Source organism: Homo sapiens, chromosome 4, assembly GCF_000001405.40.
Source record: "Homo sapiens chromosome 4, GRCh38.p14 Primary Assembly".
NCBI lineage: Eukaryota > Metazoa > Chordata > Mammalia > Primates > Hominidae > Homo > Homo sapiens.
The window spans coordinates 186,836,394-186,862,483 of NC_000004.12; the positions used below are offsets into that span (position 1 = coordinate 186,836,394).

The 26,090-nt window shown below is 38.8% G+C and overlaps 2 long non-coding RNA genes across 7 annotated transcripts in view; one reads left to right on the forward strand and one right to left on the reverse strand.

Moving 5' to 3' along the window:
• Positions 1-2,002: 2,002 nt before the first annotated feature.
• LOC124900877 (uncharacterized) lies at positions 2,003-4,425 on the reverse strand. The gene is made up of 2 exons (XR_007058506.1): positions 4,349-4,425; positions 2,003-2,870 (listed from the first exon to the last, which is right to left on the reverse strand). It is a non-coding gene; the product is annotated as an uncharacterized LOC124900877 (long non-coding RNA).
• LOC102723906 (uncharacterized) overlaps positions 4,269-26,090 on the forward strand; it is a 220,555-nt gene continuing 198,733 nt past the window's right edge. For all 6 annotated transcript variants that reach the window (XR_007058501.1, XR_007058502.1, XR_002959826.2 and 3 more), the window contains exon 1: positions 4,269-4,596. This is a non-coding gene — a long non-coding RNA (uncharacterized LOC102723906). The remainder of the gene's footprint in view (positions 4,597-26,090) is intronic.

Genomic DNA, 26,090 nt, shown 5'->3' on the forward strand with positions numbered 1-26,090 from the left:
CTAGAATTTTGCAGGCAATTTAAAAATATCGAATTATTTACACTATGCTCCCTAAAGCAGAGATAAATTAATGGTCAAACTTTGGGAAACTAATTTTGTTCTGAGGCTGATGATCTCATATAAATAATAGTTTATAAGTGTATCAGTTTAGAGAGTTTGCCTTTGTAATCTATTAAAGAACACATTTTAGATAAATGTAAATGGAGATTATGGTTGCATATTATTAAGTTTCCTGACAAACACTAAGAATCTATGATAAAAATCATTTCCAGTGAATTCAAATATTATTTCCTTGAAGAACTGAATCCTTATGATAAAATTAGCACCTCCTCTTTCTCTTCCTCCCTCTCTTTTCTCTTCCTCCCTCTTTTTTCTTTTCTACCTTTCTTTTCCTATTTTATGTCTCCTTCCAAAAAGATTCAAGTCATTTGCTCTATACTAAATGCTCTTGGAAAAAGTGAACTTTTGCTATCCATTGTGTTAGACAGCCATTATTTGCTAAAGCAATTGGAAGGATTTTATATGCAAATAATTGATAAACACTGGTTTACCCCATCAATGGAAAAAAAAATCAAAACTGTTGTTCAAATAAATGAATTTTATTGTAATTATTAGCGTTCTTGTTTGCTAATAATGCTAATTGATGTGAAGTCACTCAATTCCTCACTACAATGAAATACTGAAGAAATAAAATGTCCTGGGAAGATGTGTCTGCATAAATATTATAAAGGAGGGGGAAAGAACAGGTTGGGGCATTAGAGCAAAGCCTAGGTTCTCACCTTGACCGTGGTGTTCTCTCACTGAATGACCTTGAGCAACTCACCTACCTTGCCTGGGCTCCAGGTTCATGATCTGTTAAGTATGGAGGTAGGAATTCATTTTCTTTTATTATTATTATTATTATTATTATTATTATTATACTTTAAGTTTTAGGGTACATGTGCACAACGTGCAGGTTTGTTACATATGTATACATGTGCCATGCTGGTGTGCTGCACCCATTAACTCGTCATTTAGCATTAGGTATATCTCCTAATGCTATACCTCCCCGCTCCCCCAACCCCACAACAGTCCCCAGAGTGTGATGTTCCCCTTCCTGTGTCCATGTGTTCTCATTGTTCAATTCCCACCTATGAGTGAGAACATGCGGTGTTTGGTTTTTTGTCCCTGTGGTAGTTTACTGAGAATGATGATTTCCAATTTCATCCATGTCCCTACAAAGGACATGAACTCATCATTTTTTATGGCTGCATAGTATTCCATGGTGTATATGTGCATTTTCAAGCTGTAAAGATGTCATACAGAGGCAGCCTAACTACTGAAAGGAGGCTTCACTCTGGCATGTGAAACCTCAAGTAACTCACTGGGCTATTTCCTGTAAGAACTGCTAACGAGGAGCCAAAGTGTCTCAACGAGTTCCACCTCAAAACTCTGTTCTTGCAGGCTCTTATCTTTACACATTCATGAAAGGCACTAGGCTAAAGGAAGAGATTCAGGGAAGCAGAAAATGAGAAAATGGCGGCACAAGGAGCATGGTTAACCTGTCAACCGAATAACTTACTGTTGGACAATTGGAAATGTGCTATCCACTGCAGCTAATTGCATTCTAATTGGTTGTAGTTAGAAATTTTTTACTTAAAAAAAAAATTTCCAAGTTGATTTATAAGAACTGTGTATTAGGACCTATGCCTTATGTATTTTTTGTTTTAAAATCCATTGTATGTAAGGATTATTTGGGGATAATTTTTTCTTATTTATTTGTATTACATTAATTCGTTTGCAATACATTAATTCATTAAATCTTCTCAGAGGTAGCATGAGACCTTTTGTGTGTTTGCGAAAATACATTTTTTTTGTGTAATGGCACGTAAGTAAATTAAAAATTAGTAACACAAACCAAATGGAAAAGTACATCAAATGCAGGATTTGTGATTTCAGAGCATACACTTAGGAATCTATGTTTTGTTATTTAACGAGTATTAAAACATAAATTACAAGTACATTGTGGTTTCAGAATAACACTGTATTTGACTTGATGACATAGCGATCTGTTCACATAACAGCATATAGTGCAGTGCTTGACATGTAGTTGGTGAATGAATGAATGATTGAAAAAATGAATGAATGATAGGAAGTCCATTTATATCAGAGTCATCCTAGTAGCTAAATTAATGACTGACTATAAAATGTCAAATTCCCCATTACAGTGCAATGATTACCAACCATTTTACCACCACAGATCCTGAGATTTGAAAAGTTTTGTCTACTAAACATGATATATTTATTTGATAGCAATTTCTTTTTCTCATTTTTAATAAAAGTGACATGGAATAATAGTACTGACAGAATTGATCACACAATAGCTTCATATTTCTCCTATTAAGGTAACAGTACAGTGTGGTTAAGGACATGGATTTGCAGCAAAGAGCATGGGCTCTTAACCGGATTACCTTGGTTAGAACCCCAGTTCATTAGCTGTGTGGACTTACACATAAGTTCTTACAAACTGCTCTGTATCTCAATTTCCTCATTCTAAGAGGAGGATAATACGTGTGCCAAATTCATGATTTTTTTAATGAATCCATGAAAAGCACCTAGAACAGGGCCTAGGACATAGTAAGCACTCAAAAAATGTTGGTGATTCCACGCTATGAGTGCTAACATGGATTATTCCCAAAGCTCACTGGAGCACCATGAAGTCAGGATTGTGCCCAAATTACAGATGAGAAAACAGACCTACTGAGATTAAAATTGCTTAATGTAACAGATTGGCTCAAGTCTAGAGCTAAATCTTGCTCCTTTTCTCTTTCTCTCCCTCTCTTCTTCCTTTTTCCCTTCTCTTCTCTTTTCTCTCTAACAGAAATCTTGATCTGCAAGAGATAAGCGGTGTTGCCACATTACATTAATACAATCCCAGGCAGAATCAATGCTTGACATTTCAATTAGCTTGTGCAACTTTATTGAAAGTGAACTTATGATTTCTGTTTAACTCTTGGAAATACTGAAAATGGCTGAAAGAGCTCCATTTCTTTCAGAATAGGAGCAGTGATATAAGGGAGCCTCCAGTTGGCTCTTTCATAATTCTTAACACTTCAATTTGTGGTAAGTCATTTAAATGTTGCCATAAATAGGATTTAAAGGGGGGGCGGAAAGTATTGTCTATTTTTTAAATGGCAAATTCTTGATTTTATGCTTTTTCACGTATTAAGAAAACAGATATTTTCAGAAGTTAATACAAATGACTTGCAATACAACGATCAGAAATTTTTTGCCAATGATGACTCATTTCATAAAAACCCAGAACATTTATTCTTTCTGTTCCTGTTTCAGAAGAAATAGCGTAAGCACCATGGCCACTGCTAGTCCTAACATTAACACTGAAGTTTATAATCCATGTTTTGCCTTTTCTGGCTGTGGCTGTTAGTATCTGGCTGGAGGGGCTCCAGGGCCACACACAGACGGCGTTCATGTATGACAGTGTCTTTTACGGAGTGGGGTAAAGAGGGCCACACTCTGAAAAACAGAGAGGTGGGAGAGAGGGAGGGAAGCCACAGAACACCCCCATGACCCCAGCCACCCACGGAACTGGGAGAGGGAGAGTCACCGCTTGGCTGAAGGCTGAGGAAAGCAGAGACGGAATAATGGATGACTATGAAATTAAAATAGGGTGACTTGAATAAGACATATACGACTTTTTTTTTTTTTTTTTAAACAGTGGAACCTACTTCTTCATGTCTCTAACTTTCCTGAGTGGGAGTTTATCAACCCTGTCCTTACAACTCACTACTTGTTCCGGGATGTAGGAAAACACCCTTTACCTTGAGGCCCTTCCCAATCTATCCAAGTCCACTGTCGAAATTCCTTACCCACCACCCTCCTGCCAGGAGACACTGTGATGCCCATTTCCCCAGGACCCTTCCTTCTGGACTGCTTTCTCTCCTACTGCTGTCTCTCGACCCCGCTCCATCTCCCTCCCCATCCTCCTCCCTCCCCCTCCTTCTCCTCCTTCAATGAGCTTGTGCAACTTTATTGAAAGTTCTCCCCTCCCACTCTGCCTCCTTCTCCCCTCCCCAGTCCTCTCCACTTTCCATCTCCCACCCCTCGCCTTCCTCCCGCCTCCTTCTCCTCCCCACTCCCTCTCCTTCTCTCCTCCTTCTCCCTCCCCCCTTCCCCTCCTTCTCCTCCCTCTCCCTCCTCTTCTTTCCCCCTTCTTCCCCCTCCCGCTCCTCTCCCTCCCTCTCCTTCTCCCCCTCCTCCTCCCTCCCTCTTCTCCCTTCCTCCCCCGACTCCTTCTCTCCTCCCTTCTTTCTCCCCTCCCCATCACCGCTCTTTTTGGTGTGTTGCTCACTTTCTCCTCAGTTTGTCCAAACACTTTCAGTTTTCACTTTCAGGAAGTGTTGAGGTCCACACCCAACTCAGGCTCTCCATCCCTGAGGGGAAGCACGTGGCTGTCCCCTTTCGGTGGATTTCAAGCATCCCTGGCGCAGGTGCAGCGGCCTTGCCCTGGGCTCACCAGCAGCCTTTGGGGTCCCAGTTGGCAGGCAGCCCTGTTCCCTGGGGGTCCCTGCCGGAGCTGCTGGTCCCTGGAGCTACCCCGTGAGTACTTTTCTGTCTTGGAATAGGATGTTCAAGTGCACAGGTCACGGGTAAGGACGGAGGCATAGATTAATCCGGCCCCTCACTGCCCCGAGGAACCCAGGATCTGGCACGGTCCTCGGCATGCTCATGCTGCAGTGAATGAGCGAGTGAGAGTGAACTGACAGGCGCGGGGAGGAAGAGGCTGAAGCACGCTTCACTTGCCCGCAGTTTTGTGAGGGCGGGGTCTGTAGGCCGGAAAGGAATTCTTCACCCCGGAAGTGAATGCTTGTCGCATGCATTAAATAGCCTGATTTGGCTGTCCCTTTCCCCACCGGTTTTGCTGCAGTCATTCTTTGGCGATAAAAATTTTAGAAATGTGTTTTCTGAAATTTTTCTTTTTTTTATATACTTTAAGTTCTAGGGTACATGTGCACAACGTGCAGGTTTGTTACATATGTATACATGTGCCATGTTGTGTGCTGCACCCATTAACTCGCCATTTACATTAGGTATATCTCCTAATGCTATCCCTCCCCCCTCCCCCCACCCCACAACAGGCCCCGGTGTGTGATGTTCCCCTTCCTGTGTCCATGTGTTCTCATTGTTCAATTCCCACCTATGAGTGAGAACATGCAGTGTTTGGTTCCTTGTTCTTGTGATAGTTTGCTGAGGATGATGGTTTCCAGCTTCATCCATGTCCCTACAAAGGACATAAACTCATCATTTTTTATAGCTGCATAGTATTCCATGGTGTATATGTGCCAAATTTTCTTAATCCAGTCTATCATTGTTGGACATTTGGGTTGGTTCCAAGTCTTTGCTATTGTGAATAGTGCCACAATAAAAATACGTGTGCATGTGTCTTTATAGCAGCATGATTTATAATCCTTTGGGTATATACCCAGTAATGGGATGGCTGGGTCAAATGGTATTTCTAGTTCTAGATCCCTGAGGAATCGCCACACTGACTTCCACAATGGTTGAACTAGTTTACAGTCCCACCAACAGTGTAAAAGTGTTCCTATTTCTCCACATCCTCTCCAGCACCTGTTGTTTCCTGACTTTTTAATGATCGCCATTCTAACTGGTGTGAGATGGTATCTCATTGTGGTTTTGATTTGCATTTCTCTGATGGCCAGTGATGATGAGCATTTTTTCATGTGTTTTTTGGCTGCATAAATGTCTTCTTTTGAGAAGTGTCTGTTCATATCCTTCACCTACTTGTTGATGGGGTTGTTTGTTTTTTTCTTGTAAATTTGTTTGAGTTCATTGTAGATTCTGGATATTAGCCCTTTGTCTGAGTAGATTGCAAAAATTTTCTCCCATTCTGTAGGTTGCTTGTTCACTCTGATGGTAGTTTCTTTTGCTGTGCAGAAGCTCTTTGGTTTAATTAGATCCGATTTGTCAATTTTGGCTTTTGTTGCCATTGCTTTTGGTGTTTTAGACATGAAGTCCTTGCCCATGCCTATGTCCTGAATGGTATTGCCTAGGTTTTTTTCTAGGGTTTTTATGGTTTTAAGTCTAACATGTAAGTCTTTAATCCAACTTGAATTAATTTTTGTATAAGGTTTAAGGAAGGGATCCAGTTTCAGCTTTCTACATATGGCTAGCCAGTTTTCCCAGCACCATTTATTAAATAGGGAATTCTTTCCCCATTGCTTGTTTTTGTCAGGTTTGTCAAAGATCAGATGGTTGTAGATATGTGGCATTATTTCTGAGGGCTCTGTTCTGTTCCATTGGTCTATATCTCTGTTTTGGTACCAGTACCATGCTGTTTTGGTTACTGTAGCCTTGTAGTATAGTTTGAAGTCAGGTAGCATGATGCCTCCAGCTTTGTTCTTTTGGCTTAGGATTGACTTGGCAATGCGGGCTCTTTTTTGGTTCCATATGAACTTTAAAGTAGTATTTTCCAATTCTGTGAAGAAAGTCATTGGTAGCTTGATGGGGATGGCATTGAATCTATAAATTACCTTGGGCAGTATGGCCATTTTCATGATATTGATTCTTCTTACCCATGAGCATGGAATGTTCTTCCATCTGTTTGTATCCTCTTTTATTTTATCGAGCAGTGGTTTGTAGTTCTACTTGAAGAGGTCCTTCACGTCCCTTGTAAGTTGGATTCCTAGGTATTTTATTCTCTTTGAAGCAATTGTGAATGGGAGTTCACTCATGATTTGGCTGTCTGTTTGTCTGTTATTGGTGTATAAGAATGCTTGTGATTTTTGCATGAAATGTGTGTTTTTTACAGAGCCTTAGGGTCTGTGGAGTAAATGTACCACATGAAACTACTAAATAAATCAAAATGGTAACACAGCTTTATGGAGTATTTTTATGGTGATCAGTTCATTTTGTCCAAGTTATATATGAGTTTGGAGGTGGATCTGTAAACTCCCCCCTCCAACTTTTTTCAGAAAAAGAATTTTTTTCCTTATAGAAGTAGTACATGTTCATGGTAAAATCAAACAAAGAAACGAGAATAAATCGAATGAGACAGAGGAAGAGAGATGAAAAGTAAAATTCCTCTTCCAGCCTCATTCCCCAGAGCAGCAGTTCTCAACTGGGGAGGATTTTGCCTCCTAGGGGATGTTTGGCAATGTCTGGAGATATCTGGTCATCTGTGGGGAACCGCCGCTACTGCATCTAGTGAATGGCCCAGGGTTGCTGCAGAATAGCCCACCACGCACAGGACAATCTCCCACAGCAAAGCATTATCCGGACCAGAGTGATCATAGTGCCTCTACTGCAGACCCCTGGCCCAAAGTGACTACGATGGTTTCTGGAAGACCAGAAACTTTAAAATATGTATGTGTAGTTTTTCCACTTTTTTTTTTTTTTGCACACAAATGGACTTTTTATCCTCTGTAATTGGAAATGGGCTTTTTTTTTTCACTTAATGTTTCAATGTCTTGGTTATTTTTTGGTTATTTTTTACATATTGATGCATACAATTTACTTAATTATTATTATTATTTTAGAGACAGGGTCTTGCTTTGTGACCCAGGATGGAGTGCTCCTAGCTCACTGCGGCCTCAAACTCCTGGCCTCAAGTAGTCCTTCCCCTCGTCTCAGCTTCCCAAAGTGTTGAGATTACAGGCGTGAGCCACTGTGCCTGGCCACAGCCTAATCGTTTTTAACTGTTAATTAGTTTTCAGTTGGCTCATATATCATAACATACGTAGCCTTCAAAGATAGCTAATTTTGTTGTCTCTAACTTCTCATTGTGATAACCAAGCCTGCTGGGAAGGGGTTACTGAAAGAGAAACTGCACAAAGGGCTGGATTCTTCCTTGGCACTTTTGTTTTTGTTGCTTTACTTTTGCTCAAAATCTGACTGAGAGGCTAAATTCACAATGGGAGGTCGATTCTGTTTCTTTCTTACAAATCCCAGTTCCCTCTTGATTGTATCACTCAGGAGCCTGGGAATAGGAGGGAGGAGCGCCGGTTTTCTGTGCTGTGCCACTGTGGACTGTATCCTGCAGACATTTCTAATGCCGAGCTCACTAGCCAGGAAGTCATGTCAGCTGTGGAAATGTTCAGCTTAGGAGCTCACCATATCTGAATCGAATCCAAAACTTTTTAAGGACCTGGATTAAGTAAACTATGCTAGGGATTCAGGCTGTCCCTTAGCTTAATAAAGAATGGACCACTTCAAAGCCAACCCTTCATTGTCTAAGTTTTTTTCCTTTTTTCCCCTCTGTGTGAGTTCAGTCTGTTGACATCTTTTGCTGTTTTTCTATGTCGACTTTCATTTTGGGTTGGAAAAGTGAGGCTCATGCATTTTATACGGCAGTTATCAGAAGTACATCTGATTCAAAACCACACAGTGTTGCTATTGATTGTATAGCGATGTTGGCATGGATCATTTAAGGTAAATGTTATTTTCATGACCCCAAAGAGGAGGCTGTCACAGAGAAATATTATGTAATAATTTCCACCTTGCAAGAATGCAATGACCCCAAGAATAACACATTTTAATTCTTAAACTATGTGGAATTATCTATTTCAGCTCACTTCAAGCAGCATGGAATTTAGTTTTATTTCAAATTAGTGTCTGCTACTTGTGTGAAAACCTGTCAAAGTTTATAGCCTGGGAAACTGCTTTAAAGTAAAAATGAATGCTTTAAGTCTCAACATTCCTTTGTTAAAATGTAAAAATGCAATGGGGAAACTGCTTTCTATTGCTCATTCTTTTAAATATTTGGAGCTCTCTCATTATGCCTTGACCTGTTACAGCAGGCAGCACCCTCCACATAAACAACTTCCTCCTTTTTCCACAGAGATAAAAATGAGTCATGCTGGTCACCACTCTTGTAAGGCCTCCCATGTAGACAGGGTTATTTTTAATGCCCCTCGTGGAACCTGTGGAGTCTCGTGGATGGTGGTGATGAGCGGGCCAAGAGTGGCTGCCTCCCTGATGTCCCTGCCATGTGTCCCACACAGGCTGTGGCATGGGAGACAAAAGGCCACGCTGAAGTCCACAGGGCTCTAAGGCAGCCCCTGCCTCCTCCGCCTGTGATTTGCTAGTGACTGTGAGTCATTCACTCATTTCTTCCATCTGATAAAGCTAGTGGACATGAAGGGGAAATGGCAAAGTTTTCTTATCATCTTAGGAGCCAGAAGCCAAGTCTACTTTCAACTGCTTCTCTGTTAAGTCCTCCGTCAGGGAGCACTTATGAGGGCTCAGCGTTTGGAAGAGAAAGTGCCCGATTGTGTAGACACCACAGCAAAGGGGGAAGAAGGGAGTTAACACAAGGAAAACCTGTTAGAGAAGAGAAGGAATGTGTTAGATGTTTTTCTCACCTGTCACGCTCTATTTCCTTACCTTTGAACAATTTCATGTGTTATACCTCATGGCAGACCTTAAAAGGCAGGTTGTTCAGTGATGTCTAAGAAAGAACTATGTTTTTAAAATTCCTTTCCCTGGGGATTAAAAGTTTAGGAAGATTCTCAACTCAAGACACACCAAAAGCTCATTCGACCACATCCCCACCCCCCTACCTCCCCACCATGTCTTTTGTACATTTTTTTTTTCCTTTTAGAGACAGGATGTCACTCTGCTGCCTAGGCTGGAGTATAGTGGTGGGATCATAGCTCACTGCAAGCTCGACCTCCTGGATTCAAGTGAACTTACTGCCTTGACCTCCCAAGTAGCTGGGACTACAGGCGTGCACCACCATGCTCGGCTAATTTTTAAAATGTTTATGGAGATGGGGTCTTGCTCTGTTGCTCAGGCTTGTCTCAAACTCCTGGCCTCAGATGATCCTCCTGCTTTTGGGTCCCAAAGTGCTGGGATTGCAGATGTGGCCCACCACGCCCAGCCTGAACATCGTCTTTCTTAGGTGACTTCCTCCACATAGTTATTTGTGAATTGTAATATTGTGTGGCAATATTATCCAAAAAGTATTTGTTTTTATTGTATTTTGCAATCCCTAGGACATATTAAATAGCTCAAGTGATGGGATGTTCTTCTTAAAATTCGATCTCATAGTCTAAAATGGTGACTTGCACATGAGTTAGCCTCATTAAGTCCTGGACGAATGGCAAATGCTATAATTTCCTGTCTCACTTCTGGATATCACAGTGTCATCTTAAAAAAAAAAAAAAAAAAAGGACAATCTCTTCATTCTCCACTTGAGTGCTAAGGGAACTGAGTTCTTAACAAAACAAACAGAAAATCATTTCTTTGTGCAATTCAGGCCTTTTAAGTTTACATGCCTAGAGAGTTGTGTAAAAATAGTGCAGGGCTGAATCTTCCAGTGAAGTTATTTTTTCTAACGGAACAATTTCTGAAAATTGGGACTGAAATTATAGTTTGCACATTGTAATGCACTGAACTTCCCTTCTACTTTCCTCTAAATAGCATTGTACTGTATCCAATTGCAGGGATGGGATAAAATTACCACGGAAGATTTCAGAGTCTCATTCTTAAACCAAAATGTTGCCCATTACACGTGGAAACTCTGAATGGGGAAGGGTCAGAAACAAAGGTGACATTAGATGAGTGAATGCTCTGTGGGTTGTGACTTTTACTAATGGAAAGGAACAAATTTTCCATTTTGTATATGTGTATACATTGGAAATACGTATACATATGCTATTACATGCATGTATATAAATCTACTTATTGTTTAAGTTGACCTGCATATGTTTTAATTTTGCTGCTAAAAGCTGTGTCATAAGGATATATTCCTACAACCCTTTTAAAATTAAAAGCTATTCAGCCAAAGGGAACTTAAAAAGAAATTACTTTTTTTTTTTGCCAGAAGCAGATCAAAATTTCCATTGTCAGGAACCAGTTATGATTTATAAACATAATTACCAGTGATGTCCTGGGAAGAGAACCTAGGGGAAATGAAATTTGTCTTATTTTTTTAAATGGCCCGCAATTTATTATCCACTCCCTGAAACTATTAGCAACTTGTTTTTCCTTAATGTGCAAATGTCCCCATGCCCCAAATTTCTCCATAACAATTTCTCCCTGATGCTAATTCTAAGATTTCACATATCTTCTTGCCTATTTGCTGAAAGGAGCTGGTGTGAGTATATGCTGTCTCTCTGAATGCCACAGATCTCTCATACTTGGCTCACATTTTGTGTGCTTTCATAACAATCTACCTGTTGGTATTCCTCACCTCTAGATGTACTGATATGGTTATATACACACTTTTCAAAGTTAACATCGCCAATTGTTAATGGGCCAGCCTGCCCTCAGGGGCTTCCTGGTCAGATGCCCATCCTTCAGTGGCATTTCTGCCAGAAGAGCGCATATTCTGAATATAATTAGGAAGGAACTTCAGACAGACCCAATCTGAGGGACATTCTACAAAATACCTGGCCTTTACTCTTAAAAAATAACAGCGGCATTATTCACAATAGCAAAGACTTGGAACCAACCCAAATGTCCAACAATGATAGACTGGATTAAGAAAATGTGGCACATATACACCATGGAATACTATGCAGCCATAAAAAATGATGAGTTCATGTCCTTTTTGGGACATGGATGAAATTGGAAATCATCATTCTCAGTAAGAATAAAAAACCAAACACTGCATATTCTCACTCATAGGTGGGAATTGAACAATGAGATCACATGGACACAGGAAGGGGAATATCACACTCTGGGGACTGTTGTGGGGTGGGGGGAGGGGGGAGGGATAGCATTGGGAGATATACCTAATGCTAGATGATGAGTTAGTGGGTGCAGCGCACCAGCATGGCACATGTATACATATGTAACTAACCTGCACAATGTGCACATGTACCCTAAAACTTAAAGTATAATAAAAAAAATAAAATAACAGCGTGAAGCACCAAGAAAGGCCACCTAACCATTCCGGATGAAAGAAGACTGAAGAGGCATGACCTGACTCGCATGCAATGTGTGAACCTGGCTCGGATCCTGGACTTGGAGGAAAAAGCTATTAAAGGATATTATTGGGACAATTGGAAAAATTCAAATATGTATCATAGATAAGATCAATGTCAATATTAATAAGATAGTGTCCATGTTAAATTTTCTGATATTAATAATTGTACTGTGGTTACAGAAGAGAATGTCCTTGTTCTTAGAAAATATGTCCTGAAGTAATTTAAGGGGAAAGGGGCATGATGCTTGTAACTTCATCTCATATGATTCAGAACATCTATCATCTATCTATCTATCTATCTATCTATCTATCTATCTATCTATCTATCTATATCATCTATCTATCTACCTATCTATCATCTATCTATCAAATGAGAGAGAGAGAGAGAGACAGAGGGGAGTGGGAGAGAGATATTGATTCATGAAGATGGAGCAAATGGTAGCAATAGTAAGCCTGTGTAAAGTGTACAGTAGACTTCATAATAGTTTTGCACCTTTTGGTAAGTTTGAAATTATATCAAAATGAAAACTTACTAAAATAAATAATAAATATGTACTTTACTTAATTATATTCTTTAACTTTCTTGGGGAATGATTTATGGCTTAATGTTGTAGGGAATAATAATCTTTATATATATTTTTTTTCTAATTCTATTCTTGGAGTCCAAATCTCATACCAGAACAGCATCAGCTTTTCCAAAACGTCCTGCTATAATTAATGAGGAATCTGGTGCAGGGTTAATTTTGAATGAAAAATATTTGGGTTGAATGATAGCACCAGATGACGGAAGCACTAATGTGATTCCATGCAGGCAGAACACATCCAGCTGTGGAGGCCTGGGGGAGAAAAATTTGAAAAGAAAAAGTTTTATAAAATTTGTGCAGCCTGGAAAATAAGGGATACTAATCACTGTTAAATAATTTTGGAGGCAAAACTAATTATTAGTAAAATCATTGAAATCAAAATGAGAATACAAGTATAAGAAATGTTAAAATTTATTTAATTCTTTTAGCTGCAGTCTTTTGTGCTATTCTTTAGCCTTTCTGACTTTTACTTTCAGCAATGTAATTCTCATTGTATTTCACTTATGGCAAAGATCTAAGTCTGAACTTTTTGACCCATTAGGGTGTGATGACTAGGAATATATCTGTGTGTGTGAAAGAGAGGTTTAAAAGACATTAGGCCAGCACAGTGGCTGACATCTCTAATCCCAGCATTTTAGGAGGTCGAGGTGGGTGGATCACCTGAGGTCAGGAGTTCGAGACCAGCCTGGCCAACATGGTGAAACTCCATCTCTTCTAAAAATACAAAAATTTAGCCAGGCATGGTGGTGGGCGCCTGTAATCCCAGCTACTTGGGAGGCTGAGGCAGGAGAATTGCTTGAACTCAGGAGGTAGAGGTTGCAGTGAGCTGAGATTGCACCATTGCACTTCAGCCTGGGCAACAAGAGCAAAACTCCATCTCAAAAAAAATACATAAATAAAAATAAAAATCAGGAAATTATGTGTGTGTCTGTGTGTATGTGTGCAATTGATTTTTTTTTTTAATTTAGGAAGTATGTTGAACTATATACAAGGCATTGCACTAGATCCTAATGGAGTCTAAGGATACAAATACTAATAATATAAGATCTGTATTTTGTAGGAATGTAAAGTTTGAAGTTATGAGTGGAGGGAACAGGCAGTTAAATAGGTTATGAGAAGATTAAGATTCTGTGTAGGGCAGTAATGCTGTAATGAGCATGCAATACAAGGGGCACTTGGAAATGAGTGGTTATTAGGGAAAACTTTAAGGAGAGTTTTAGGCATAAAGAATAGCAAAGAGAAGACAAATAAGTGAGAGAGAAGAGGTCAAGCATCTTCTTAACTTCTACTTTCCTGACTCCTCCAAGGAGGTATAATCAAGGGATTTTGGATTACTGTATCTGTAATTTGAGTTCTAAGCTGTTAGCAGTAAAATTTCTGACAGTCACTCTCATCATGTCCTTTCTGAGGTCTGGGCAGACTTATCCCAGAGTTTTTCTGGGTCTGCTATATGGTATAGGTATGACCTCTGAAGCCACTTAACTTAAGCTTTTCTACCTCATGACATCCATACCTGCTGCCCTGCTGGGGTTCCTGGGAGGTCCTCTGAGACCAGTTCAGCCACTGAATTGAGGAACCATCTCTTCTTTATTACAAATAACTTTTAATGAATCTGATCATCATCCTGGTATTCTCCAAAGGAACCAAGCACTAAGATGCTGCAATATACTTTGCCCATGGAGGTCACCATTTAGAAGGTGCTCTGTCATTATCTCTTTAACATTGCCTCTTCAACTACTCTCCTTTTTGGAACTCTGGTTGAAAATATGGTAGACCTTTCTGCTTTATTCTTCAGGTCTCTTAAACTCTTTTTGATATTTTTCTCTTTTATTTCATTAGCTGAATTCAGGATAGTTTCTTTGGATCTATCTTCTAGTTTACCAATTGTCTCTTCAACTGTATCTATTTTATTTAATCTGTTCACTGAGTTTTTTAATTTCTAAAACGTCTATTTGATTTTTTTAAAAATATGCTTTTTTTTAAATACTCTCATGTTACTGGCTCAGTTTTCAAGTTTCTTTTTAATTTCTTTATGGTTAGAAACATAATTATGTTATATTCTGGATCAAAAAATTCCAATATCTGAAGTTTTTGTGGTTCTTTTCTGCTTTCTGTTGTTTTGGTTGACTCTACTGTATGTTTTCATGTGTCCTTGATGTTTTGTGACCTTTTTTAGTGGGGGATGATATTCTTTTTAACTATGAAAATTCATTAGCATCTAGATTGAAGTAATGTTCCTCTGAAGAGAGTTTGCATTTGCTTTTTTCAGTCATCTTATGCACACAAACTCTTCAGCTAGATTGTTTAAAATAAAATTCTCTGCTTTAAGGTTTCTGAATTACATAGGTAGGTGAATTTGAACTTCAATGGTGTCAGCTCTGAAGATCTCTTCTGCATTTCTCTGAGGTTGAAAGAGGCAAATTTTTGTGCTGTCTACTTCTGTGAAGTGGGCATATTTTTCATTTGTCCTAAGGCTGAGAGTATGTAGATCTTTGATGTCCCAGCAGCATGTAGAGTATCCTTCTATTTACTTTCCCACCTTGGGCACATATTTATCTCTTGTCCTTCACACCTGCTGCAGTTGTTATGGTGGAAACTCAATGTCTTCAGGGCTCAGCACAAGTCCTAGAGGGAAAGCCGGCATTGGCACATGCTTAACTTTTGAATTTCTGCTTTCACTTCACTTTTGATCTCTGTGGGTTTTATATATATATTTTTTGCCAGCTCAGCAATGCAATTCTTTTCTTAATTCAAAATTTTAGTCATTTTTGTTGGCAGATTCTTCCAGAATATCTGGTCTATAATAGTGCCAGAAACAAAAGTTGACTCTAAGCTTTCCAGCAGTCAATGAGAAGAGAGATATCTACTCAATTGCATAGTCGCAAGGGCCAGGAGAAAAATGACTCTCAGTTGCTTTGGAGGGATGCAACAAGTTTTGGCACTGAGGTCAGACTGGGATATTTCTCAGCAGCCATTCCAGCATACACTGTAGTCTCTGCTATTGCCTGGATGGCACAATAGAGCCAAGCAGCTGCTTCACCAGGCTTCATAACCAACACCCTTTGAGATTGTCAAAGCAGGGTGGTATTTGAGAATGAAGAAGATCCTGGAAGACAAATTACTCTTTTCACTTTGTGTTTTATACATGTAAGATGGGTCACAAAGCTAGGTAGCTTTTCCAAGACGCTTCCAAATTCTCATGCCTTCAGCTTTCTTAGGCATGCCCAGACAGATTGGAATCTTTTATAACCCAGGCACAGAAGGTAATTCTTCACTTAGGCAGCACAGAGTTGTCCTCTAAATGACATAGGTGGAATGAGTCTACTATAATGTAGTAAAACTGAGTCAGCATCTTTCACACCCTTTTTATGGCACAGTCCAACCACCGTAAAAACATGTCTCTAGATAAGTTGAAATCAAAGATCAAAATGTTTTGCAGTTAGAGGATACCTTCTGTAATGATTAACCATTATACATTTAGTATCATGTTCTAGTTATATTTTAGTTTGATTTGCTAGTAAACGAGCTTGTAGAGTGAAAGAATACTTACTTGGTTACATGGAACTACTAAAATTAAAGAGATTAACACTTATTAAATACATCAAAAAGTCTTAAGAGTTTTCAATGAAACTTGTCTAGAAGACATGTTTTCTATAACAGTGAACGGATTATACGGCACATGGAATCCTAGATTTTTCTTTCAACCTAAATCAAAATGTGTGGAAATATTAATAAAAAACCTATTTGTAAGGCTGTGCTACGTGAATCATATTCCGAGAACAGCACTAAAAACATGGTTATTTAAAGTTTTAAACCTGGGAGAGTTGAGAGGAAGAAAAACTTTTATATTATGAAATAAGAAAAGTTTAGTGAATTGGTAAGACCAATTACCAAGAAAGGATTTCTGGGAGGCTGGGGGAATAAACTTTAGTCAAAAGAGAAATGACTACCTTGCAATTTCAGCTGGATTTTAGTAAAGAAACAAAGGGTTGAAAGCAATTGTGTGAGTTCTCTTATCCTGTATAGTGAAAAGAGAACTAACATTCTTAGAAGGCATTTTCTGTCATTTCTCAGAAATAATAAAAAGTACTATGAGGACTTCCTGAAGTGAATTGGAAAGACAGAAATCGACCATCCCTTATTGGTTGGGACCCATGCTGAAGAAATGCCTTTCAAAACAAATTGGTGATTCTGGCCACATTGTGAGTTTAGCAAAAACTCTTGCCTAATTCTGAAACTTTTGGGTTCAGTGAACTAACTAAGTTAATACTCTCTGTGTTAATTTTTAACCCACCTATTGTTTTCTCTTTCATATAGCATATGTGATAATAGCAACTGTAAAGGCATAGTTGCATCTTTGTTTTTAATGGTTTCTATAGTTGTTTTCTGGTTTCTAACCAGGTTCCCCCCTCCTAGACAAGTTTTCCCCAATGACATAAAGGCTATAGATTCCAATGTGTGCTTTGTAAGCAGGAAATGACTGTTTTTAGGTTCAGAATTTTTTTCCCCTCACAAATAAGAAACCCTGTTTGTCAGCTAGAAGAACTCTGTTCCCAAGCACTAGAATCTAGTGTGAATATTCAAACAAGTGAACACATCTAAATCTGTAATTTTGTTAGCATTTTGAGAAAGAGCTTGAAGCTCTTTTCATTTCCTTTCTCATTTCAGTCAGTTGGAATTGAATTAGTCCCAATAATATTCTCACACTGGTTCCTCACTGGCCTTTTTTACGTGAATGTGGAAAACACATAAAGAAATGTTGGTCTATCCAAAGAAACTTTAGACAATGAAAGGAGAATAATTACTCACTTTTAAGGGTAGGAATGACACTGAGTTTGGAACCTAAGTGTTTACATTTTTTAAAGGGGCAATGGAGGTGACTATTGATACTAAAAAGCCCTGGTCTGTTAGTTTCACTATTAAATGACAAGACAATTTTTAAATTGATGAAGTAAAGTAATGTGAAATCCCTCAGTTTGAATTTTCATGCAAGTTATAAAATTTCATTGGGTGGTAGTTTATTTTCCACATTATAAAATTTAATTTAAATCACTTTTCCCACAAAGCTTTGGGTGTAAATCATCAAGATTTGCCTAATTTATTTTCCATTTCAACATTATATTCTCCAAATTCATGACTTCACATTACACGCATGATTTTAGATTTCTCAGAAAATGTTGAAAGGAACCCATCACATAGACAACACAATATTCAAATGACCACTCATGCATTGGTTCAGGTGTAAATGATCTTTCAGTGCTGACTGATTGGTTTAAAGGTTTTAATAAATGAAAACTTACAAAGAATCCATAAGTTCCATCCCTTTTTTTGGGTTGATCCTCCCCACATTGTGGAAATCTTTTCTTTAGGGCATGTAGTTTCATCAGGAGTAGACAGTCTGCAGTGATTGGGGGAAGCTATGGTTTTTGTTTGTTCAGCATCATTTCCCATCCTGTTCCTTCTACTCCTGCCCCATTCCTAGTGGTCCAGATGGTGATGTCAGTCACAATGACCTGTCCTCACTTCATCGGTGAGTATGTGGCCAAGCCTAGCTGCTGGAGTGCCAAGTGTTGATTCAGGAATGTGCATATGACCCCAGAAAGATAAATTGTTGTCTTCCCTGAGAGATTGTCATAGGGCTTCTAATGGGTGGGGGAAGTCTAATTCCACGGTGGCTGCTAGGCCGGACAAATGTGCACCTGGAGCTGATTGAGGTCATTCTATCTGACACAAACACACAGAAAGAGCTTGCCTATAGTTTAGCAAGCAGAAATAAGCATAGCTGAAAGGTGGAGAAGAAAAGAAGCAGAGCTCTGTGTATATTGTTTACCTCTGGGTCCGTCCATGTTTAAAGATATATTCAGCTCTGGACTTCCCAATTGCATAGTCACTATAGTCCCCCTTTCCTTAAGCCAGTTTGAGTTGAGTTTTTAACATGTCCAAGCAATAAGGATCTCAACTAATGCAGACTCTATTGCAGAACTTCTTGCGAGTCCTGACCATAATTCTGCTAAGTTCTTTCTCTTGCTCTTTCACTTTTTCTTGTTTTTTCTTTAGTATTACCAACGATCGATAGACATTCTGAAGTTTTTATGCTAATATGAACAAATTCCCCAGAAGAGAAAGTGATTTCATACTGCAATTCAAACATAAATTCCCTGCTGAGAACTACTGAGGTGCTCGTAGTTACCCACGGCCTTGTGTAATAACTTTGGGCATAATGCTTTCATTTACAGTTACTGTTGTGTAGAATTGAGAGCACCCTGGGAGTTAACCTGTAGGACAATGTAAAGAGGAGCATATATTCTTTCAAGGGATTTGTAGCTGTCATTTCATTTTTTGAGAGTTATCAATGGAGGTATTGTTGCAAACAGCTGTACTGTGAAGGCATTTAAGCCAGTTATTACTGCCTGTGGTGTCTGCACTCACAATGCTGCAAATACTGAAATTATGATTTACAGAGGTGAAAAATGTAAGTTTTGTAAGATCTAGCTGTATAACTGGCTTTGTCTCTTCATGTGATTGGACAGATTCTTTTGTAATGATGAGTCTCAATCTGCTTGTAATTCTAATGAATTCAAAAGCTTTGGCTAGAATATATCATAACAGATACTAATACATTAATTTAGACAGCAATATGGTAACACAAATGTTATTTTTAATGTTTTTAATTACAGGTGCTCCTTGACTTATGATAAGGTTATATTTTGATAAACCCATTGTAAAATGAAAATATCATAAATTGAGAATGCATTTAATACATTTAACCTATGGAACATTATCGCTTAGCTTACTTAAATGTGCACAGAACACTTACGTTAGCCTATAGTTGGGCAAACTCATCTAACACGAAGCCTGTTTTATAACAAAGTGTTGAATATCTCATGTAGTTTATTGGACACTGTACTGAAAACAGAATGGTTGTATAGTTACTTGAGGTATGCTTTCTCACCATTCGAAAAGTTGAAAAGTTTTAAGTTGAAACTTTGTTGAGGACTATCTGTATGTCCCGATAACATTATGTTAAACCTGTATTACGCAGAATACAATTTGAAGACCCAGAATATAGTGAAATAATTTCTAAATGTGAAATATCTTAGATGTCAATAAATTTGGTTGAATGGAGCTGAAATGATACATGTCAGAATTGGAAAAATAATCTTAAGTTTTCTGGAAGAACTCTTTGATATATTGTCCAATAACTCTTTTCCTAACAATACAATGACCATCTTTAATATGTTAAGGTCTATTTTCACATCCAATTCAGGACTAATCTCTGCTAAAGTTCCTTCTTTTCTCACCTTACCCAAATCAAGTAACCCTTTACCTAGATGAAACTCTCCATTTGGCCAAGATTGATATAGGAATCAGTAATTAGGTTGTCCTTAGTGCTTCATGACTTATGATAGTAGATCATGCACCATTGCAACATCTTTTGATTCTTGTGCCAATTAAAAGCAATTCTCAGAATATTTGCCAAAGAGTAGCCAAAAGAATATTTCTGCATTAGTTTACAAGTTAACAGAAGATATGGTCTCTATCCAATTTGTGTGCACAGCATTTTCCAGATATGATTGTGTCATTTAATCAGTCTATTTAACTTAAAAGAATTTTAAAGATTATAGATCTTCTAGGATGATTTTATAGGTTATCTAAGAAAATACTCTGATTTCACAGGTGTGTCAGTTAGGATGCTTTGGGTTGCATGTGACAGAAAATGGATTCCAAGTTCCTTAAGTAAAAATGGAAATGTGGAGGTTCACGACACTGAATGTTGCAGGTTATGAGTTAGACTTTATCCAGGGTTCAGTCTCTGTGACTGGGCCTAGGTTTATCTCTCTAGTTCTTGCTCCTGCTTCCTCCATGAGGGCTAAATTCTCAAAGTTCCCAGAATGGGGACAAGCAGCTCCTACCCACATGCTTCCCAGCACTTCTACTGGGAAAAGAGTCTGCCTCCTGACACCTCAAGCAAAACCCCAGAAGTGAGTTCTCCTGGCCCTGGTTGGACTGACTTGGGTCATGTGCCACTCTTTCTTTTGAATTAATCTCTGTGATTGATGTGATCAGATTTACCGACTGGCTTAAGGCAGCCACTTCCAAACCTGGAGCTGAGGGCAGGATCAATCCCATGCCAACTGCATTGCAAAAGACATTCAGGTTGCAGTTTATGGTAATGGATGCTGGGGAGGCAACAGCAAATGCTAAGACAATGAAATCTGAGAATCGGAGGGCCTTGGCCCTATCACACAGAAATTAGCAAAGCCTCATCTAGAACCTAATTCAACGTTATTTTCATCTGTCAACAAAGGGCCATGAACTACTATTAATACACAAATTCATGCTGTCAGCACTGTGTGATTGTAGAGGAGTGGAGACGATGGGGCTATCCAGGGCAATCTTGATCAATGTATGGTCTGGTGCTGACTGTAAAAGACATCTGAGATGTCTGATAAAAATGCAGATTCCTGGGCCCCATCCTGGATTTGCTGAAGTAGAATCCATGGGGGTGGGGCCCAGGAATTTGCATTTTAAGCTTGTTTTCTAGACAGATGTCTTCCTGCAGATTAAAATTTGAGAACCATGGTTATGTGACCCATAAATTGTTGTGGTGAACAAACATTTTAAAACCTCTTACCATGGCTGCATCTGGGAGTGTATTTGGAAATATTTTCTATAAAATTTCTTTATATTGACTTTCCAGTTAAGACTGTAACTACTTCTAACCTATAATCTGGTCATCGCCTCTGTAAAGGGGATTATGCAGTCTTGCTGAATTCATTGGGTGAGCAGAAAAATCTGCAGAAGAGACTGATGGGCAAAGTTGAAAACTACCTTTGTTCTGCACTCTGAAGGAATATCACCAAGTGTACAAATGGTGAAGTTAGTACAAGTGGGGAAAACATAAATATATTTACTATGACAAATGGCATCAAATAAAGCATGCTATTACCCATTTATATATATTATTTACCTTTCAGAACTCTTAAATTGTTTTTCAAAGATGATTGATACATTAAGAGTTTGCTCAATCTGCAGTACTTGGACAGTAAAAGCAGGATGTTGACAGCAGCTATTGAAAATCATTTCCATGCTGACTGTGGCTTATAATAAGAAATACAACATTCACTGTGCTGCTTTGTCTGATCCTTGTTTTTGTCTGACAGCACAAATCTTGAGACAAATTTTCCACCTGCCTCCTAGAAACAACCTAAAGGGTACTTGTCTCCCATGTAGCTCTCTGTGAAAGTCCAAGATGGCTTTTGTTGTCTTATTAGCAGAATTTCTTGGAGACTGATGGGGTTGGGGGGTGATTGTCAATTTTGCTTTTAAATAGCAAACTGTTTGTGGAAGAACAGTGAAATTAAGAGTACTACCAGAGTAAATCTGATGTTTTTCCATTGCATTTCTTGCGATGCTATAGGATTTATGAGATGTATTATTGAACCATTGTCTACTTAGGGAGTTGAATTAATTTTTTATGTGCTGCCCGAGGAGAAAATAGTGTAAACAGAGTGGTGAGATAAAATTTTACATACAACAGTGATTTGAAATAAATATCAGTAGAACATAATCCAAAATAATAATAGATAATTACTGAGTTTTCACAAACCCTAAGTATTCAGTATTGCTGAGTGTGTTAAAATATGTTCTAAGCAATTTACAGGTAGTAATTTATGTAATCCCTAGAACTATCTGAGGAGGTAGATTTTGCTATTAAAATCAATTTACATATGAGGAAGCTGAGGCACACAGCAGTTAATACATTTACCTAAGTTCCCACACCTAGTAGGTAAAGGAATTGGAATTTGAAACCAGGCAGACTATATCCAGATCCATACTCTTAACCACCAAACTATAGATTTGGTTATGCATGATTGTAATGTATCATAATAAATCAGGAATTATATAAAAATTTCCCAATATCCTTTTTCAATGAGTTCTGTAGAGCAAAGGAGATAGTGTAAATTACACTACTAAATAGTATATGGCAGTATAAAGATTTTATGACTATGACTTGAAGCCATGCTCAATTGCTGATAAATACGGGATTTGGTTCAGCAGGCTTCTGGCATGCCGTAACAAGGACTAGGTAGATCTGAGCCATATCGGCCACCATTCTCTATAGTGACAATGTTCATCTGCCAGTAGCTCAAGAGGCCCTTTAAGTTGGTTTCACAAACACTAAATACTTGGGACGCTTGGGCATCTAGACTGGTGCCCTTTAAGTTTCACCACTGTTTAAATAAAATCAAGAAAATACATTTTTTATCAAGAGCCCAAGTCTCACTCTAAGGGACCCGGTCCCTCAGAAGCATCCCCTTAGGGTTGTAAAGAGCACATTGTTGGAAGATGAATGCTTCTGATTAAAGGAATCTCAAATCTAAAAAAATAAAAAACAAAAAAACTAGTGCACATGGATGTGTTTAAATCATGCAGAGTTTTCGTCTGATTATCTGAGACCAATGTAGCCAATCTGCATTGCAAGTTGATGGATGAGGCTTAGGAATTCATATATGGTGATTGGTATGGTTTGGCTGTGTCCCCACCCAAATCTCTTGTCATATTGTAATCCTCAGTGTTGAATGTGGGGCCTGGTGGGAGATGATTGGATCATAAGGGTGGTTTCTAATGGTTTAGCACCATCCACTAGTGCTGTCTTGTGACAGAGTTCTCACGAGATCTGGTTCTCTGAAAGTGTGTAGCACCTCCCCCTTCACACACACTCTGTCTCTCCTGCAGGCCTTGTGAAGAATTGCCTGCTTCCCCTTTGCATTCCACCATGATTGTTAAGTTTCCTGGGTCCTCCCTGGAAGCAGAAGCCTGTAGAGCCTGCAGAACCATGAGCTGATTAACCTCTTTTCTTCATAAATTACCCAGTCTCAGGTAGTTCCTTACAGCAGTTTGAGAACAGACTAATATAGTAATGAAATTATACGTGATCACCCTAGAACTACATAAGCCTCTGGCTGGCTTTCCTAGTGCTTTTTCTAACCAAAGGGCAGATGCTTTGTGATGACAGCAATGCAGTGTGGTTATGAGTGCTTGAAGCTGACGTTGCCTCTCAAGTACATTTTTAATAACAGTGATGAAAATGACAAGCTCAAAATTCATCCTTCATGGCAAATAATTATCTGCACTTTTTGTACATTCCCTTTCAGTCTTTGTTCTTTTACAGATGGAATTTTGTATGTTTGTAATCTTGCTGTATATATGATTTTGGATCCTGTTTTTTACTTAACATTTCCCATGCTGCTGTAATTTTTATAATTGTTGTTATCTTAATGGCTACCCAATAAACCATTGAGTTGATTATCACATTTTATGAAAATATTTATAATTGCTAAGCTTTTAGATTTTTCTACTTATTTGCCATAATAAACAACAGTACGTAGCTGGGTTTGGCACATGCACCAAGTCCTGCTCACAACTTATTTTTTTAAAATTAAAAAATTTTTTTTTTTGAGACAGAATTTCTCTCTTGTTGCCCAGGCTGGAGTGAAATGGTGCCATCTTGGCTCACTGCAACCTCCGCCTCCTGGGTTCAAGTGATTCTCCTGTCTCAGCCTCCTGAGTAGCTGGGATTACAGGCATGTGCCACCACACCCAGAAAATTTTGCATTTTTAGTAGAGATGGGGGTTTCTCCATGTTGGTCAGGCTGGTCTTGAACTCCCAACCTCAGGTGATCCGCCTGCCTCAGCCTCCCAAAGTACTGGGATTATAGGCGTGAGCCGCTGCGCCCAGCCCACACCTTATTTTTGTAAATAAAATTTCAATGGAACACATTCACACACACTTGTTTGTGTATGGTCTATGCTGCTTTCACATTACAACAGCAGAGCTGAGTGGGTACAACAGAAACCCTACGGCCTACAAAGCCGAAAATATTTATTATCTGGGCTTTTACAGAAAAAGTTTGCCCATTCCAAATTATTAACTTAGGACCCAAATTGATTTTGGATAATTTTGTTAAGATAAATTCTGATAATAGGGGTTCCTTGGCCCAAGTATGGTCTCAAAGCATATTTCCCAATGTTTTCTAATGCTGTCGTCTTGATTTATGATGCTACCAGCAACATATAGCTGTGCAACTTTCATCCAACTGTACCGTAAGTGGGTTTCATCACTTTAAGTTTTTCTTACTTTAATGACTATTGATAGTATATCATTGGTGTTTTTGTTTTCTTCAGTACAAAAAAGATATTTCTCTGTAGATTGATCAGTTGTTTTCTCTTGTATAAAATGTCTGTTCATGTTTCTTATATGCTAATCTACCAGAGTCTTATTGCTTCACTGGTTAATTTGTCTGAGCTTATGGATGATTTTCTGACTTACATTGAAAGAACCAGCAATAAGATATGTGGTCGATGGCTTACTGCACACAGATATGCATAAATCATGCAAGCATTATGTGATTGATTAAAGCAGATAGAGAAGTCAGGCTTATAATAATTATGAATGCCACCTTTTAAAGCTAGAATATCTGTGTTACTGATGTAAATAATACCAGTAGCTCTTTTATTACTCTCTAAATCTGTAAGCTGAACTCCTGCAAGGAAAATATGTCTTCTTTATGTAATGAAAATATTTGCTTATGTAGTATTAAATTTCTCATTTGTGTGTGACTCATTAAAGTAGACAACTAACTCAGCTCTAGTCCTAAATAAAAGAAACTTGTTACAATAATCCTTTTTTTTGTCAAGATGCAAAATGTTGATAAGCTTGAGTCTCTCCCACTCTGGCTGCAAAAATTAAAAAGGGCTACAACAAAATTATAGACTGGAAATTTGTGACCAAATACAGCACAGGATTCTTAGACTGCAAGGAAGACAGCTTCAGAGAAAGGAACAAGGAGAGTTTACTTATACTTGTTTATACCCCTAAGGAGGGCTTTTTTGTACATATTTGTTGGTAATATTTTGAAGATGTGAAGTCAATGCACTTTAATCCGCTTTGGTATCATGGTCCCTTCCAGCCTTCCACCTCTGAGGCTGAGCCATGAGGCCTCTTGCCCCAGGGGACAGTAGGACAGTTCTGCCTCCAGCAAAGGTGTGATGGATCAGCTTTACTCACAAAGCTGAATTTCTGGAGCACGCAGCAAGATCATGATTTTGAAAGCCAGGCTTTGGGAGAAGGAAATGTGTTTTCTAAGTTTCTTTAGCTTCCATGAATATAAAGTGTTGGCTAATTACTATATACAAATGTAGTTGGAACTCAGAGTTTAGAGATATGGAGAAATTAGAAGTATTTCCCTTTTCCTCTGAGATATGGAACAGCAAAATGAAAGGAAGACAAAGGGCAATGATATTGGGCATTACAGGGTAGGGTGCAACTTGGCCATCTGCAGCATGTTGTAGAGGAAATAGTGCCACAGTGATTGAAGGATGGCGTGGCGCAGGCCGAGCTCTTTGCTCCCATGCCTGCAGGGGTGTGCAGGGCTTCCAGCTGTTCTTTGATGCTTTGGAGAGAGACAAAGAGAGCCTAAGCAGAAGACAAATGGGGACTTTAGTGTCCAAAGCCCATGGTTAGGACCACAAAACCCAGTCTTGTATGCCAGCTT